General features: G+C 34.3%; 1 long non-coding RNA gene and 1 pseudogene across 2 annotated transcripts in view; one reads left to right on the top strand and one right to left on the bottom strand.

The window, feature by feature from the left end:
• Positions 1–4,626, bottom strand: part of LINC03017 (long intergenic non-protein coding RNA 3017) — a 51,843-nt gene extending 47,217 nt beyond the window's left edge. For both annotated transcript variants that reach the window (NR_110080.1, NR_110079.1), the window contains exon 1: positions 4,495–4,626. This is a non-coding gene — a long non-coding RNA (long intergenic non-protein coding RNA 3017). The remainder of the gene's footprint in view (positions 1–4,494) is intronic.
• RPL7P30 (ribosomal protein L7 pseudogene 30) lies at positions 8,272–8,985 on the top strand (annotated as a pseudogene).

The following is a 15,805-nucleotide window of genomic DNA, read 5'->3' as shown; positions in this document are numbered from 1 at the left end:
TATTTTTGTTTTGCTTGTTTTAAAATTTCCTGTATGTTTTCCTTTATCAAATGGGGTTTACTGACTCTTCTGTTTGGTTTCATCAACCTCAAACCAATAAAATTATTTATTTTTATTTATAAAAATTCACTGTTAATGCCAACAACAATATTCAAAGACTATATAAATTGTAGCAGGCACTGTACCATTATTGCAATTTTTGTTAAATATGATGATAACTTCCATCTGGTTTACCAAAAGTCCAGGAATTTGAGGAGTGCTGTGGTCTGAAAGTGTGTGTTGCCACCAAATTGATACATTAAAATCCTATCCACTAAGGAGATGATATCGGTAGGTGGGGCCTTTGGGAAGTATTTGGGTCATGAAGACAGAGCCCTCATAAATGTGGCAAGATCCCTCAGCTTGTTTGCAAGCTGAATTTATGTGAGGACTAAGTAAGAAGGCACCATCAATGAACCAGTAAACAAACCCTCACCAGACACCAGACCTGCTGGCTCTTTGATCTTAGATTTAGAAAAGTGAGAAATCTATTTCTGTTGTTTATAAGCTATCTAGTCCATGATATTCTGTTTCAGCAACACGAATGGACCGAGACAAGGGTCAGGAGAGCACTGGAGCATGTCTTCTGTACCAGGAAAGGCATAGGTATTTATGAAGGGCACAGCAAGGATTTAGTTGTGTCTGTGCAGTACTTCTCAACATTCCTTAAATGTCATGGCAACTCAGAAAATGATTCATTTGTTGTTTACCTTGCATACTTGGGTAAACACAAGAGGATTGTCATGACACCCTCCTGAGACATCCTAGATCTCAAACAACAGACTCCAAAACTAAAAGATAAATATTTGGGCATCCTAAAACCCATTTTTGATGTACCAGTTAAATCCCTTGAACAATTTCAGCAGACTCTCAATATTGACACACCTTAGGATTTGATATTCTAAAGAAACCACATATATACTTGCAGTGTGGCCTTGTGCCTAAGTTTGTCCTTAAGAAATGCCTTAGCCCAGCAGTATAGACAGACTAATGAGTTAGTGTTTAAAACCAAGACAGAAAGAATTCTCTTCTTAAAAGCGAAGTTGCAAGTGAAACTATTCTCATCCCTATAAACAGAGCAGTAACTGTTTTGTGGTGCTTTCTAACTATAAGCAAGTGAATAAATAAGATCAATTCTTAGGATGATGATTCCCTGGAAAAAAATAAAGCAGAGCAAGGCATTCACAAGTGACTGGGGTTCAGAGCCTGCTTTAGATTGGACCGACATGACAGGGCTGTCTCAAGATCAGCTGAGACTTGCATGATTCCAAACAGTGGTGTATTTTATGGGGGAATTAATTACCTTCCAGCCCAGGACACAGCAATCTCTGGAAGTGGAGATAAGCTCAGCATAGTTAATGATGAACAGAAGGAAGGCTAATGTGGCTAGTGAGAGGGGGAAGGAGTGGTAGGAGATGAGGCGAGCTGGGGGCACATCATCCAGCATCACAGTACAACTTTGGATTAAATCCCAAAATTAGAGGGCTTGCAATTGGTAAACTGAAATAATCTGATTTACATGTTTAAATGATCACTGTGTGGGAAATGAATTGTAGAGAAGCAAGAGTGGAATAAAGGAGACAGGTTAAAAGACTATTAGAGCAATTGAGGCAAAAGGTGATAGCTTAGACCAGAGTGGTAGTAGCAGAAATGAAGTAAATTGAATAAATTTTAGATGTATTTTGAATAATGTATCTTCCAGAATCAGAAAGTCAAAATCGTTAGAGTCCTAGAGTAAAAAACAAACTGAATCAAAGCACAGCACAACACACACACACACACACACACACACACACACACACATACACACACAATTGAGAAGTGTTATTTGGGTTGAGTGAAAGGCAGATCAGTTTTAGGATTGACTCTCCCACCATCGGACTTTAATTTTTTTTTTTTCTTAATGGTTTAAAGACTCCCAGATACATCTTGGTGGATGTAAAACCTACAATCTTGTCACATTGGTCATCTGTTCATTCTTTCTCTCTAAGGAACAACTGCTTCTCTCCCATTTATCATGTTTGTCATTATGACACAGCTATAGGCAATTCTCAGAAAACAACATTCTCATTACAGGCATGCCCCACAGAATATATTCCTGGTTTATACTCTCCTAGTAGAGTATAAACACACACACACAAACAATAAAACTCCATTTTAATAACTATATTCATAAGATAATGGTCAGGAAGTAGCATTTTAAGTACATATTTTATATATTTACATGGTAGTGTATTTCTTACACGAAAGTGTTTTACCATGTTTTAGTCATATGGTATCGCCTGAGAGTCTTGGTTTATACATGTAGCCTGTTATCATTTTTCCAACTTAACAGAAAATACATCCTGTATTAGGCTGAATAATATTCTCTAGATACTATAATAAATCCTAATTTCTGTAACTTTTAAATGTTTCGCTATTTGGAAAAAAGGTGTTTGTAGATATGATTAAGTTAATGGTCTGGAGATGAGGAGGTTATTCTGAATTATCTGAGTGGACCCTAAAGGCAATTACATGTATCTTTATAAAAGTGAGGCAGAGGTAAATTAGACATGCACAGAGAGGAGAAGGCTGCGTACAGGGAGACAGAGGTTGGATTATATGGTCACAAGCCAAGGAATGCTGATAGCAACCAGAAACTGGAAAAGACAATAAATGGATTATCCTGTAGAGACTCTGGAGAGTGCAACGATGCTAACACCTTGTTTTAGGTCCAGCGATACCGATTTCAGATTTCTGGCCTGCAGAACTGTGGGAGAATAAATTTCTGTTTTAAGCCACCCAGTTTGTGGTAATTTGTTACAGCAGCCACATGAAACTAATATAGGCCCCCAGTTAGTATTTTCATGCAGAACCTCTGAATTTTCAAAAATGGATTCCTAATGTTCAGGAAATGATGTGATGTATATATTTCTGTTTCTTGGATGAAAGTCTACTTTTATAATGTATATGTTTTTATGGACCCTCTAGTTGATAAACTTCAACCACAACTTCTTACTCTGCATTCAAAAATGAACCTGTATTACTAGGTTCTGTTGTGAACATAAACCCTTGATCCAGAATTTTTTGAGACTTTGCTTCTGTCTATCCCATTGTCATCTATTACCTGAAACTACCTGGCTGAAGGTGGAGAGTGTTTTATATTGAAGGTGAGAGTTTTGGGCTATTTTTCAATAGAAAACCAAACTCTAATTGAATCAGATAACCTGTAGAGGGTCAATTAAGCGTCACACCACACTTCATGGAAAGAACACCCAGTAATCTCTTTGGAAAATAGTCTTAAGCAGAATTGATTTATTGTATTGCCACCTCTCATTAAATATTGAGTCTTGGTATTACTGCTCACTCCTATTGCCCACTCCTGGTCTATTTGTTTCTCGCTAGTTATGCTGGCTCACTCCATTATCGGCAGAGATCCAGAACTCTACATACCTCAGAGTGTAGGCTCAGCCTCCCATTGGATTTAGAGTATATTCCTCCTCACCTCAAGTCAGATACTTACAGTACTCCTGGCTGTAATTTATGACTTCCCAGGGAAAATCTCACTCCCATGCATGATGGAATGGTCTTTCTCCATGAACCTGACAAAGTAGTCAAGGACAGCACAGTATTCTGAAGTAGAAGCAGCAGTAGTAGCACTATGTAAAGGCAGTACACTCTGGGGACAGGCAGCATGTGATGCATTCATTGTAGAATGCTCCATTATCAAGCAAGCCCTGCTGAGTTCCAGCTCCATTAGCAAGTGGCAAAAGAAGTAGAAGTTGATATTCTGGATGACAGGAAAGCAGTGTTAAACTCCCCTCTTGTGTAGTACTATAAAATTGTCATAGGCAAAAAAAAAAAAAAAAAAAAAAGATGATTTTGTGTCATAGTCATGATCTAATGAAGGCCAGGCCTATGAATAACAACTAAATATAAAATATTCAAAAACAGTTTTCAAGAGACTGTTTTTTTTTCAATAGAGGAAATAATTATCTTAACTAAATTATAAGCTTAATAAGAGAAAAAATAGTTTATATATCTTAACAGGTAAAAGTATTAATATCCAATCTGACTTTGCCACTTACTTGCTAGGTGACATTGGGCAAATTACATAAGGTTTTAAAACATCTGTTATTTCATCTTTAAAATGGGCATTTACTCAGGATTAGATGATACATATGGAGTACATAGAACAAAATCTGGAATTTGAAAACAAATAATGTTAGTCACTGACGCTATTACTCCTCCTGCTCCCACTCCTACTACTGTAACAAATATTATTTGATATTCTCATGGTGTTTAGTATTAATCACGCATGTTTAAGTCATGGAATTATTTGCAAACTAAACCAAATTAAGACAAGCCAAGAAATTAAAGCATATTTGTTTTATCAGAAATAAGGTGTCAGAGCTATTAAAAAGTACCAAGACTTTGTTTTACCATAAACAAGTAATGAAATAACAAAATTCTTACCAGGAAATTTAGATTACAATATTGGAGCTATCAAATCCATGCTTTGGAGGCACAGGCACAACCAGTAATATTAAGAAGTCTGTTGACAACTATACTTGATGTTCTTCTACCATAAACATTTAAAAAGAAAGTACTCCTCTTGCTTGAGGCACTGTAAATAAAAGATATCTGTTAATGAGTTATCTGAATTCCTAGAATACCACAGAAGGAGGGATTACTAAATAACAAGATGGTTATTTTGTTTGGTGTTAATTTCCATCCCCCACCCCCACCATGCCTTCAATCTATGTCAAGGACTATCATGCAGGGCAGGAAAAATGTAGCAAGAGAAAAAAAATACATATAAACATATTAAAGGAATTAAACCTTTTCATAGTTTAAATGCACAATTATGTTGCATTTGGACTCTTCATCATCTGGTTCCCAACCCAACAGTAATGACCTAGCTTTGTTATTCTCCCTTGTTCTTCTGTTTTATTCATTTTTTTCACACATGGGCTTACGCTTATAACACTGGCAAATTACCTTCTTCTCCTGTGTTTCATGCCACCCATGTGGAAAATTTTCCTGAATTTGAAAACTGGTATTTGCCATGTCTTGACAGTAAGTACAATGTCTTACCATTTAACTTTTTTAAGATTTCCTTTTTTTGTTAGTCTTATTTAACTTTTTTGACTCCCTCAACTGCCTCTGACTTGCACGTTTAAATTTGTCATTGATGCTGTTATACTAGATTCAGAATTTTAACTTTCATCTAATGCATTGGAAGAGGAAAAAACAAGAATGAAAACGCAAATATGATGTTTTTATATTGATTTATCCTTTTCACATTTACTTTTTATTGAATTTCAGTTTTAGTAACTATTTTGCTATTTAAAATTATTTGGACTCACTTTTTTTTTAACCAGTTACCAAGGATAAGTAATATTGTGTGCACCATGACAAAATTATACCCATTCAGAGCCCAAAGACGATTGGTGATGATTGTTTTCTAGGAGATATTACTGGTAGCTTACCTAATGAAGGAGTCTAATTTATAATATTTATGTTGGTAGCTCCTTTATATTCATTATTTCTATATTTTTCAAAGTAATTACCCAAGTAATACAATTATTCTTATTTTAGAAATGAGGCAACTTATTGCTATTGCTAAATCTGACTTCAGAGCTTGTTGTTTTCAGTCTCCCAAGATACTCTCTGTCATGGAGTCTGTCATGCAGTAATAAAGAACTGCAAATGGAACAAATAGATCATGTATCTGAAGCCACAAAAAAGATAAGAAATATGTGGGCACAGCACATGCCTAAAAAATAATGACCAGCATTACCTATCGGGTAGTAATGATCCAGAAGCTTGAATAAAGTATAAACTTAAATGGAATTATAAATTCCAAATCCCAACAATGGTTCCTCCCAAGCCAATAGGCCAACAGAACAATTCAAGAACAAAAACCTTACTTAAATCAGAATTACATAGTAATGGTTCAATATAGCTAATTAACAAATGCATTACCTCCTATGGATTTATACATGGAAAACATCATGTTGTATATGGTAAATGCATGACATTGTATCTGTCCATTTAAAAAATAAAAATAAAAGAAATACTTTATGGTAGAAAACGACTACTTAGGAAATACTTGTATATTTATTGTTTTTTCTTTTGTTTGGAGGCTTTCATAAGCTCATTCATCAGTCGTTCAATTGATATATATTTTTTGTGTCCTTACTATGTGTAAGTTATTGATTATTCTAGGTGCTAGGCAAAGTGTTAGTTTACATATAAAATGTATTTATTTTATTCAAAATAGGAATGGGTTTCTTTAAAAGATGTTATACTCTAAATGTAAAATCACCTTTATCAAAAACAGTAGAAGAGGACCAGAGCCCATATCTTAACTGCAGTCATATAAAAAGAAAGCTACCAGACAAAAAACTTTGGATTGCATCATTAGGTAATGTCTGAGTGTGCAGGGGCAAATATAAAATAAACAGTAGTAATCACATATTCAAGCAAGCATCATTGAAAGGTAGAAAAGACAGACCTGGAAAAGTGCATAAGGGTAAGATCAATATAGTAGTATATATTAGTTTACATCAAGGGGTGGAAATGTTTATACACAGTTGTGTGTGTGTGTGTGTGTGTGTGTGTGTGTTAATTTGTATAGCGTCCTTAGAAAAGTCTGTAAACAGATTCCATGGGTGAAGTTTCCTTAATGATGTTCAGGAGGGTATTTTCTGAATTTTCAAAGAATATGATTTAAATAATTTGGCCAAATAGCAAGAAAGTTACAGCATCTGGTTTAAACTCATCTATCACGCACAGTAACATGAATAAATGGAGACATTCAGCACTATACACACAACAGAAATTGTGTTCTCCTATTGATATAATTAAATACTCATAGAAGCCTAAATGCATAATAGCTTCCAGACCCTTTGCTTAATGCCAAAAAGCAATGGCTCCGCTTCCAATGAACTTGATAGGCATATGTTCCTAGTCAGGACCATTGTGAGCCCTCTCCAGTTTCTAAACATTTATTGCTGGTACTGTAATAATAAACATCTTGCATTTATAAGATGTAATGTTGCCTAGAATTTTTCATTTTTCAAGAATGCAGAGCACACTCTCTAATGGCTCTCATATGTCCAGTGTGCCCACAAACAATTTGTCTTCTGAGTGGAGTGTTAATCTGACACCTCAAGGACAGACCTGTTTTCAGAAGGACTTAAAGAAAAGCTACACACATTCATAGGCCTCAATAACTACTGAAAATCCTAGTAAACTGTGGCTGGGATTACTCAGAGTTCTGGATCACATCACTTCATGCCACATTTTGCTTACATAAGAGTTATTAAAGATGATAGTAGAATATTTTTCGACTCATTGTCAAATATGTACATACCAAACACACATTTAATATATGTACATATACATGAAATCAAGCTAATGATGACATTTATGGTCCTGTTCTTTTGTTTTATCTGGACTCAGAGGTGTGTGTGTGATAGGAATGTATTTTTTATTTGTTTAACCCAGTTGCACATGATAACCTCACAGCAGTGACGAAGGAAGCAAATATGTGCTTTGGTCATAAACACCCTGGGGCATAGCAAAATCCCTCCTCTAAAGACAAATCCAAGATTTTCTTCTCAGGTCAAGGGCAGCACATTAAACCTGTGGCTTAAAAAAAAATCTATATCTCAAAAAAAGAAAAGAAAGTTAAGTTTCCTTAATGGTGCTATTCTGCATGGAGTGAAAGATTAGAAACACATCTCACCAATGGAATAAAAGATTACTTCCTGTAAAAAAAAAAAAAAGTTAATTGGCAGAGAAAGAAAAAAATACTCAGGAAAGCTAGAAACAAGACAAATAACATTTACACCTGGATCCATAATGTTTGCTGTTCTTATTTGACATGCATTATTAATCTTAACATTCTGGGGTGGCTTGATTGGGACTTGAATATTCACACCAATACCTTGAACTAGAACAATGTTTTATACAGGTGTGAGAAAAACATAAAATGAAAGTTGTATCCATCTGGCTCACCTACATCTTTTGCTCATTTCTTTAACTCACACTTTTTATTTAAGAAAAAGATGCTTGCCCACAAACAACTGTCAACTTTTTGCCTTGTCAGTGAATTTTCAGGCCCTCTCTGTATTTCTTACCACCATGGAAATACTTAATTCAATGCTTTGAAAAAATGACAACTTCTTAAAGGGAAAAAGCAACCACTCCTTTCTGGCTGGAATCAAGAAGGATATCAAAGGGAAGAAGAAGGTTCCTGCTGTGCCAGAAACTCTTAAGAAAAAGTGAAGGAATTTTGCAGTCCTGAAGATCAAATGCCTGAGAAAAAAGTTTAACCCAAAAGATGCTTCTGAAGGCAAGGAGGAAACTTATGAAAAAGTGAAGCACTGTTCCAAAGAATATAGGCAAATGTATAGAACTGATATTTGATTGGATAGGATGGCAAGAAAAACTGACAACTTCTATGTACCTGCTGAACCCAAATTGACATTTGTCATCAGGATCAGAAGTATTAACGGTATGAGTACAAAGGTCCAAAAGGTATTCCAGCTTCTTTGCCTTCATCAGGTCTTGAAAGGAAATTTTTAACCTCAACGAGGCTTCAATTAACATGCTGAGAATTGTAGAACCCTATTTTGCATGGGAGTACCCGAACCTGAAGTCAGTAAATGAACTAATCTATAAGCATGATTATGGCAAAATCAGTAAGAAGTGAATTGCCTTGACAGTTAACACTTTGGTCGATCTCTTGGTAAATATGACATCATCAGCATGTAGTACCTCATTCATGAGATCTGTACTGTTAGAAAATGCTTCAAAGAAACAGATAACTCCCTGTGGCCCTTCAAATCATCCTCTCCAGGATGTTCAATAAAGAAAAAGACCACTCATTTTGTAGAAGGCGGAGATGCTGACAACAGGGAAGACCAGATCAAAAGCCTTAGAAGGATGAACTAAGGTGTTTGCTGTGATTATTTTTGTAACCTGGAATAAACAGTGTCTGCTTTCAAAAAGAAAAAGCAACTATACCCATCATATATGTTGATCACAATTATAGTTTGCAGTGCTGACATCGTTGTTTTTTTTTTTAATCTACAAGTATATAGGCAACAGATATGACCTGTATTCGATGTACAAAAAGCCAAAAAATATGTTTAAAGTGAAAACAAATTTTCATGTGAGTTTAGTATTTCAGACTACTTATTGTTTTTACTAAGATTTCAGCTACTGACATTTCCACGTTGGCTGAAATGATTCACTGAACTTCCGAAGTTTATCTGTTCAAACTCTAAGAGTGCCCAAACTTCACTGCTCACACACTGTGGGCTAGACGTACCTCTGGAGCAGGTCCGCAGAGTTTGACATAAGCTCTGTGGTATTATCAGGAGGATAACACGCAGTGCATGAAGAGGAGACTCTTTAAGGTTTTATTTCCATTTATTTTAGTATTTCAAAACATTTTCCTCCTAAACTCAATTTGATTGACATGACACAATTTAAGGCAACTCCAAGCACAACTTCCTATGCTTAATAAGGAAACTATGATCAATGGAGCAAAACCAAGAAAGAGGTATTCTTTGAGCTACATTTAGTTTCAAAATTCTTTTCATTGCGGTATACAAAGTTGATTTTAAAAAGTAATGATCAGACATCTAATACTAGAAATAACTCTCTGTTATAAAACTTAGTTGTAATATATTGCACATTTACTTCACTCTTTTTCTAAATTGTTATTATTATTAGCTGGGAAAGAGAAATGCTTGATAATTAAATGCAAAATACTTTAACATCTACTGAGTGTTAAGGTAGAATTAACAAAACATTTATATGGGTTCCTGAGCTACAGCCTTTATCACATCACTGATATTTTTTATCTTTTTGATTGCCTGATGCCAGTAGAAAGACTGCAAATAAATTTGGCTTTACGTAAGCCGTAAATGTTTTGTTAATTCTACCTTAACACTCAGTAGATGTTAAAGCATTTTGCATTTAATTATCAAGCATTTTTCGCTCCCAGCAAAAAATAATAATAATAATTCAGAAAAGGAGTGAAGTAAATGTGCAATATGTTACAACTAAGTTTTATAACAGAGAGTTATTTCTAGTATTAGATGTCTGATCATTACTTTTTAAAATCAACAGATTGTATATCTTCCCAGAAATTTTTATATCCATGTTTGTTTTATAAAATGTAAGCTGATATTCCACACATTATTTTTAAGCTTAAATTTGCCTGATACTATGTGACTATCTTTCCACGTACATAATGAAATATGTACAATATCATTTTAGTGACCAAATAATACTCTACTCATTATTTAATTTATTTACTTTTAGGCTATTATCAACCTTTTCATATCATAAATAATACTGTGATGAAATCCTTATTGCTAATTCCTTAAATCCCGATCACTTACTTCATTCACTAAATTCCTTTATATTCATTCTTAGGTATAAAAATTGGGGGCCAACCAAAAATACACATTTTGCCAATGTTGGAAACCACTGTTCTCTGTAAACAGCCTACCAAGTAACATGCATACAAGCAGTGTGACTCATTTTTGGGGTGTTCGTAATGTTATAGAAAAGGAAGAAGAGTATGTAAAAATCTATAAGTTAAATAATCATATTAATAACTGCTAGCTGTGTATTGAATTGTGTATGATTACTTTTTTATAATAAATGTTTAAATATTACTCTCTGTTTAGATTTTCTTAACCATGCTCATAATTAGTTTATAGACTTTTATAGTTAGAAAAGAATGGAATAACTTACAGGATTTGAAACACATTAAACATGGTGGAGATGCAGTCGTTTGAGGAGAGGTTGTCTGCCCTATTTTCAGCCTTCCTTATGAAAGTGACAATTCAGTGACTCTAACCACTTAGACTTAATTTCCACAAAGACTGTAAAGTCTACCCTAATTTTGTATTGTTTGAGAAATTATGATGCTTGTTTTCCAGACTTAATATATAACTTACACCATTAACTACAGGGATTTTAATAATTCTAATATAAGGCAATACCTCAAATATAATGGAAAAAAATCCCAATCTGTTTTTATAGCAGACTACATTGTCGATAAAAAAAGAAAAAAAATTGTCACATCAATCAATGTTTTTTTCTTGGCCCTCATTGTGTGTATTTTTTTTTTAACCTGAGCAAATTTAAGGTGAAAACTTGTTACCTTTCTCCCTACCCGAATCATACTTGCAAATTGTGTTAGGGTAAACCTGAGGGCAATGTAAATTTCTTTATGGATAAGAAAGAATCTGTAAGATGAAAGCTCTAAATATAAGGTCCTAGAATATTTTCATATATTGTAGAAACTGGAAAGTAAAAGGCATAAAAGTAGTAAAGTAATATGCATAGCAAATTAAAGTATACATTATTACTCATGACTTTTGGGAAGAAATAGAAAAAAAAGAATAAATGACAAATTTTCATATTTCCTAGTTCTCTGGTAACATAGGCTTTGCTTGCATTACCTACACGAAGAATTACCATCTCAAATTCCACAAAACTTCTCCGAAGAGCGTGCCAGCCAGTACGGCAGCCCTATTGGCCTGAGAGAGGGATCCAAGAACGGCATATCTGTGATAGTGCCTAGGGTCTGTAACAGATTTTTCATTAACTTTAACAAAAATTGCTAGCATAACTACATGTGGTGAAAAGTATTTCAAAAGACTAATGTCCCTACTCCTGCATATTTTATTCTAGTAAAAGAGCTGAATTGCTGTACAGAATTCTTGGCATCTGAATGTTTGGCAAACTGTCTAGCTGTTTCTGGTCGTTTCTTTCTAAGTTTTGTTGATTTGTTTTTAAGACATCACTGGGCATGTTCTTCCATTTGACTCAACAGGATGCCAGCACTGACGTTGAAAATGACACAGCAAAAGAGCAAGTTTGTGTAAACGATGATGCTAAGTTATTAATATTATTAATAATCAAATGCAGTGTGTGATGACATAAGGAAAGAACTAAGAATTATTGTTTATTTATAGTTACACAATACACTAGGCAGTGTTTGATTATATAAGCATGTTTCTAATTGTAGCCTTAAAACAAGTGAAAAAAAAATTAAAAAAAGATGATGTTAACCACGAATGAAATAAGAACTCTGAGGAAAAAGGCACATGATTCGGTTTATATTTCACAATGTGTTGATTCAATTGGTTATTTAACCACATAAAAAGTAATAAACAATATGGATCCTGTTTTGTCCAGGTAGTAATTATTATTAACACTGGTAAAGTAGATTATGAAAAATAAAATAAATTCAGAATATTAAAATGTTTTACTGCAGTTTCAATGGTTGATGATAGATCACTATTTTCAATATTGTGATTAGGCTGGGTTATTTAAAAGTAAGTATTTCATTTTCATCTATATGCATTCAAAGCCTGTGCTTGCATGTTTATACTATTTATGGTTAGAATGAAAAGTTGCCTAAATGGAAATTATTTGAAACCTATTCAATTTATTTGTAACTGCTTTATTCTCAAAGTAGTTTATTTTTGAAATATTGTGCTGAAAAAATTAGAATTTAATGTTATTATACTAATATAATGTTGTTCACATTCATTTTGTTTTAATTCTGTAGTGATGACCTGTTATAAAGTAATTTATAATAACACAATGTGTGAGATCACTGAGATTCACACTTGTTTCTTTTGTAAGTTTTGTGTTAACTATCAGAGGGAAAAATATTAAATATCTCAAAGCAACTCCCAAGATAAACTAGTGTTGTAACTAATTTTAAAATAGATATTAGTATCTTCATTTACAATGTAAAGAATATATGAAAATTGTGAATTTTTGCTTTAATGCCTGAGATAAATATCATTATCCTTTTTCATAGAATTACCTTATGGGCAAAGACTGGTATATATGAGAGGAAATAATGATAAAAAACACCAAAGTTCTCAATTTTATTTATCGCATCTGCTGTGAAACTACCACGTAACTAGTATATACTAGGTGGGATGGACCATCTATAAAACATACATGATATGACCCTGAAGAGTTTTACAGTTTCTGTGAGGGAAACTATAAACACAAAAAAAGTATAAAATAAAATTAAAAGTGATAGAAAATGTAATCACCATACCATATAGCTAGTATTCCCAGCCAAGTAGCCAAAATAAGAATATAAAGAGTTAGCATATTTAGAGGTTATAGCAAAATTAGAACTCTACGTGCTTAATGTTTTTAATGACTGAATTTTTAAATTCTTACTTTCTTAATGAAAAAGCAAAATATTTACAAATTGTTGATGTTTTTGCACAAAAATTTCAATGTATTAAATTACTTCTGTATTAGTAACGGTAAGCTAAACTGCAGTAACAACCAGAACCCAAAATGCTTAATGATATAAACACAGCAGGAATTTATTTATTGTTCAATAATGACACAAAATAGACATTCCTGGTTGGTAGGCAGCTGTCTTTCAATATGGTAATACAAGGAATTTTGGGCTCCACCCTTTTCTGTGACATTGTCAGCTGTCACTTCCAGAGAGATAAAGCGGAAAGTCAGAGTGGAATGGGCACATATGCCCTTATCAGAAGCCTCAACTTTTGTAACATTGGAGAAACTTAGTAGTGTGGCCATATTCACCTTCAGGGAGGATGGGGAATGGAGTCCAGTCATGTGCTTGGCTCTAATTCTATTCCACAGAAAGAAAAAAAAAATGGAATTTGCTGGACAGGTAGTGGTATTTACCACAGTTTCTGTTAAAGTACTCGATTGACAAAAAGAAGAAACGTACTCTGATTTTTTTGACTTTCAGTCTCTGATATTACTGGCACAATTAGGTGCATTTATACATATGTTTTTCCTTCTATGTATAATAAAGGATGTGTCTTTTTAATAATTTATATATATATTTTTTATTATACTTTAAGTTCTAGGGTACATGTGCACAACGTTCAGGTTTGTTACATAAGTATACATGTGCCATGTTGGTATTTTTTGTGTCCTTACTATGTGTAAGTTATTGATTATTCTAGGTGCTAGGCAAAGTGTTGGTTTACATATAAAATGTATTTATCTTATTCAAAATAGGAATGGGTTTCTTTAAAAGATGTTATACTCTAAATGTAAAATCACCTTTATCAAAAACAGTAGAACAGGACCAGAGCCCATACCTTAACTGCAGTCATATAAAAAGAAAGCTGCCAGACAAAAAACTTTGGATTGCATCATTAGATAATGTCTGAGTGTGCAGTGGCAAATATAAAATAAACAGTAGTAATTACATATTCAAGCAAGCATCATTGAAAGGTAGAAAAGACAGACCTGGAAAAGTGCGCAAGGGTAAGATCAATATAGTAGTATATATTAGTTTACATCAAGGGGTGGAAATGTTTACACAGAGTTGTGTGTGTGTGTGCATGTGTGTTAATTTGTATAGCATCCTTAGAAAAGTCTGTAAACAGATTCCATGGGTGAAGTTTCCTTAATGATGTTCAGGAGGGTATTTTCTGAATTTTCAAAGAATATGATTTAAATAATTTGGCCAAATAGCAAGAAAGTTACAGCATCTGGTTTAAACTCATCTATCACGCACAGTAACATGAATAAATGGAGACCTTCAGCACTATACACACAACAGAAATTGTGTTCTCCTATTGATATAATTAAATACTCATAGTATTAACTCGTCATTTATGTTAAGTATATCCCCTAATGCTATCCCTCCCCGCTACCCCCACCCCACAACAGGCCCCAGTGGGTGATGTTCCCCTTCCTGTGTCCAAGTGTTCTCATTGTTCAATTCCCACCTATGAGTGAGAACATGCGGTGTTTGGTTTGTTGTCCTTGCGATAGTTTGCTGAGAATGATGGTTTCCAGCTTCATCCATGTCCCTACAAAGGACATGAACTCATCCTTTTTTATGGCTGCATAGTATTCCATGGTGTATATGTGCCACATTTTCTTAATCCAGTCTATCATTGATGGACATTTGGGTTGGTTCCAAGTCTTTGCTATAGTTGAGTAGTGCCGCAATAACCATACGTGTGCATGTGTCTTTATAGCAGCATGATTTATATTCCTTTGGATATATGCCCAGTAATGGGATGGCTGGGTCAAATGGTATTTCTAGCTCTAGATCCCTGAGGAATCACCACACTGTGTTCCACAATGGTTGAACTTGTTTACAGTCCCACCAACAGTGTAAAAGTGTTCCTATTTCTCCACATCCTCTCTAGCACCTGTTTTTTCCTGACTTTCTAATGCTCGCCATTCTAACTGGTGTGAGATGGTATCTCATTGTGGTTTTGATTTACATTTCTCTGATGGCCGGTGATGATGAGCATTTTTTCATGTGTCTTTTGGCTGCATAAATGTCTTCTTTTGAGAAGTGTCTGTTCATATCCTTTGCCCACTTTTTGATGGGGTTGTTTTTTATTGTAAATTTGTTGGAGTTCTTTGTAGATTCTGGATATTATCCCTTTGTCAGATGGGTAGATGGCAAAAATTTTCTCCCATTCTGTGTGTTGCCTGTTCACTCTGATGGTAATTTCTTTTGCTGTGCAGAAGCTCTTTAGTTTAATTAGATCCCATTTGTCAATCTTGGCTTTTGTTGCCATTGCTTTTGGTGTTTTAGACGTGAAGTCCTTGCCGATGTCTATGTCCTGAATGGTATTGCCTAGGTTTTCTTCTAGGGTTTTTATGGTTTTAGGTCTAACATTTAAGTCTGATCCATCTTGAATTAATTTTTGTATAAGGTTAAGGAAGGGATCCAGTTTCAGCTTTCTACATATGGCTAGCC

The sequence above is a fragment of the Homo sapiens genome, chromosome 7, assembly GCF_000001405.40.
Source record: "Homo sapiens chromosome 7, GRCh38.p14 Primary Assembly".
NCBI classification, from domain to species: domain Eukaryota; kingdom Metazoa; phylum Chordata; class Mammalia; order Primates; family Hominidae; genus Homo; species Homo sapiens.
The sequence above is the reverse complement of the archived record's forward strand: the minus strand, read 5'-3'. Positions and strand labels throughout refer to the sequence as shown.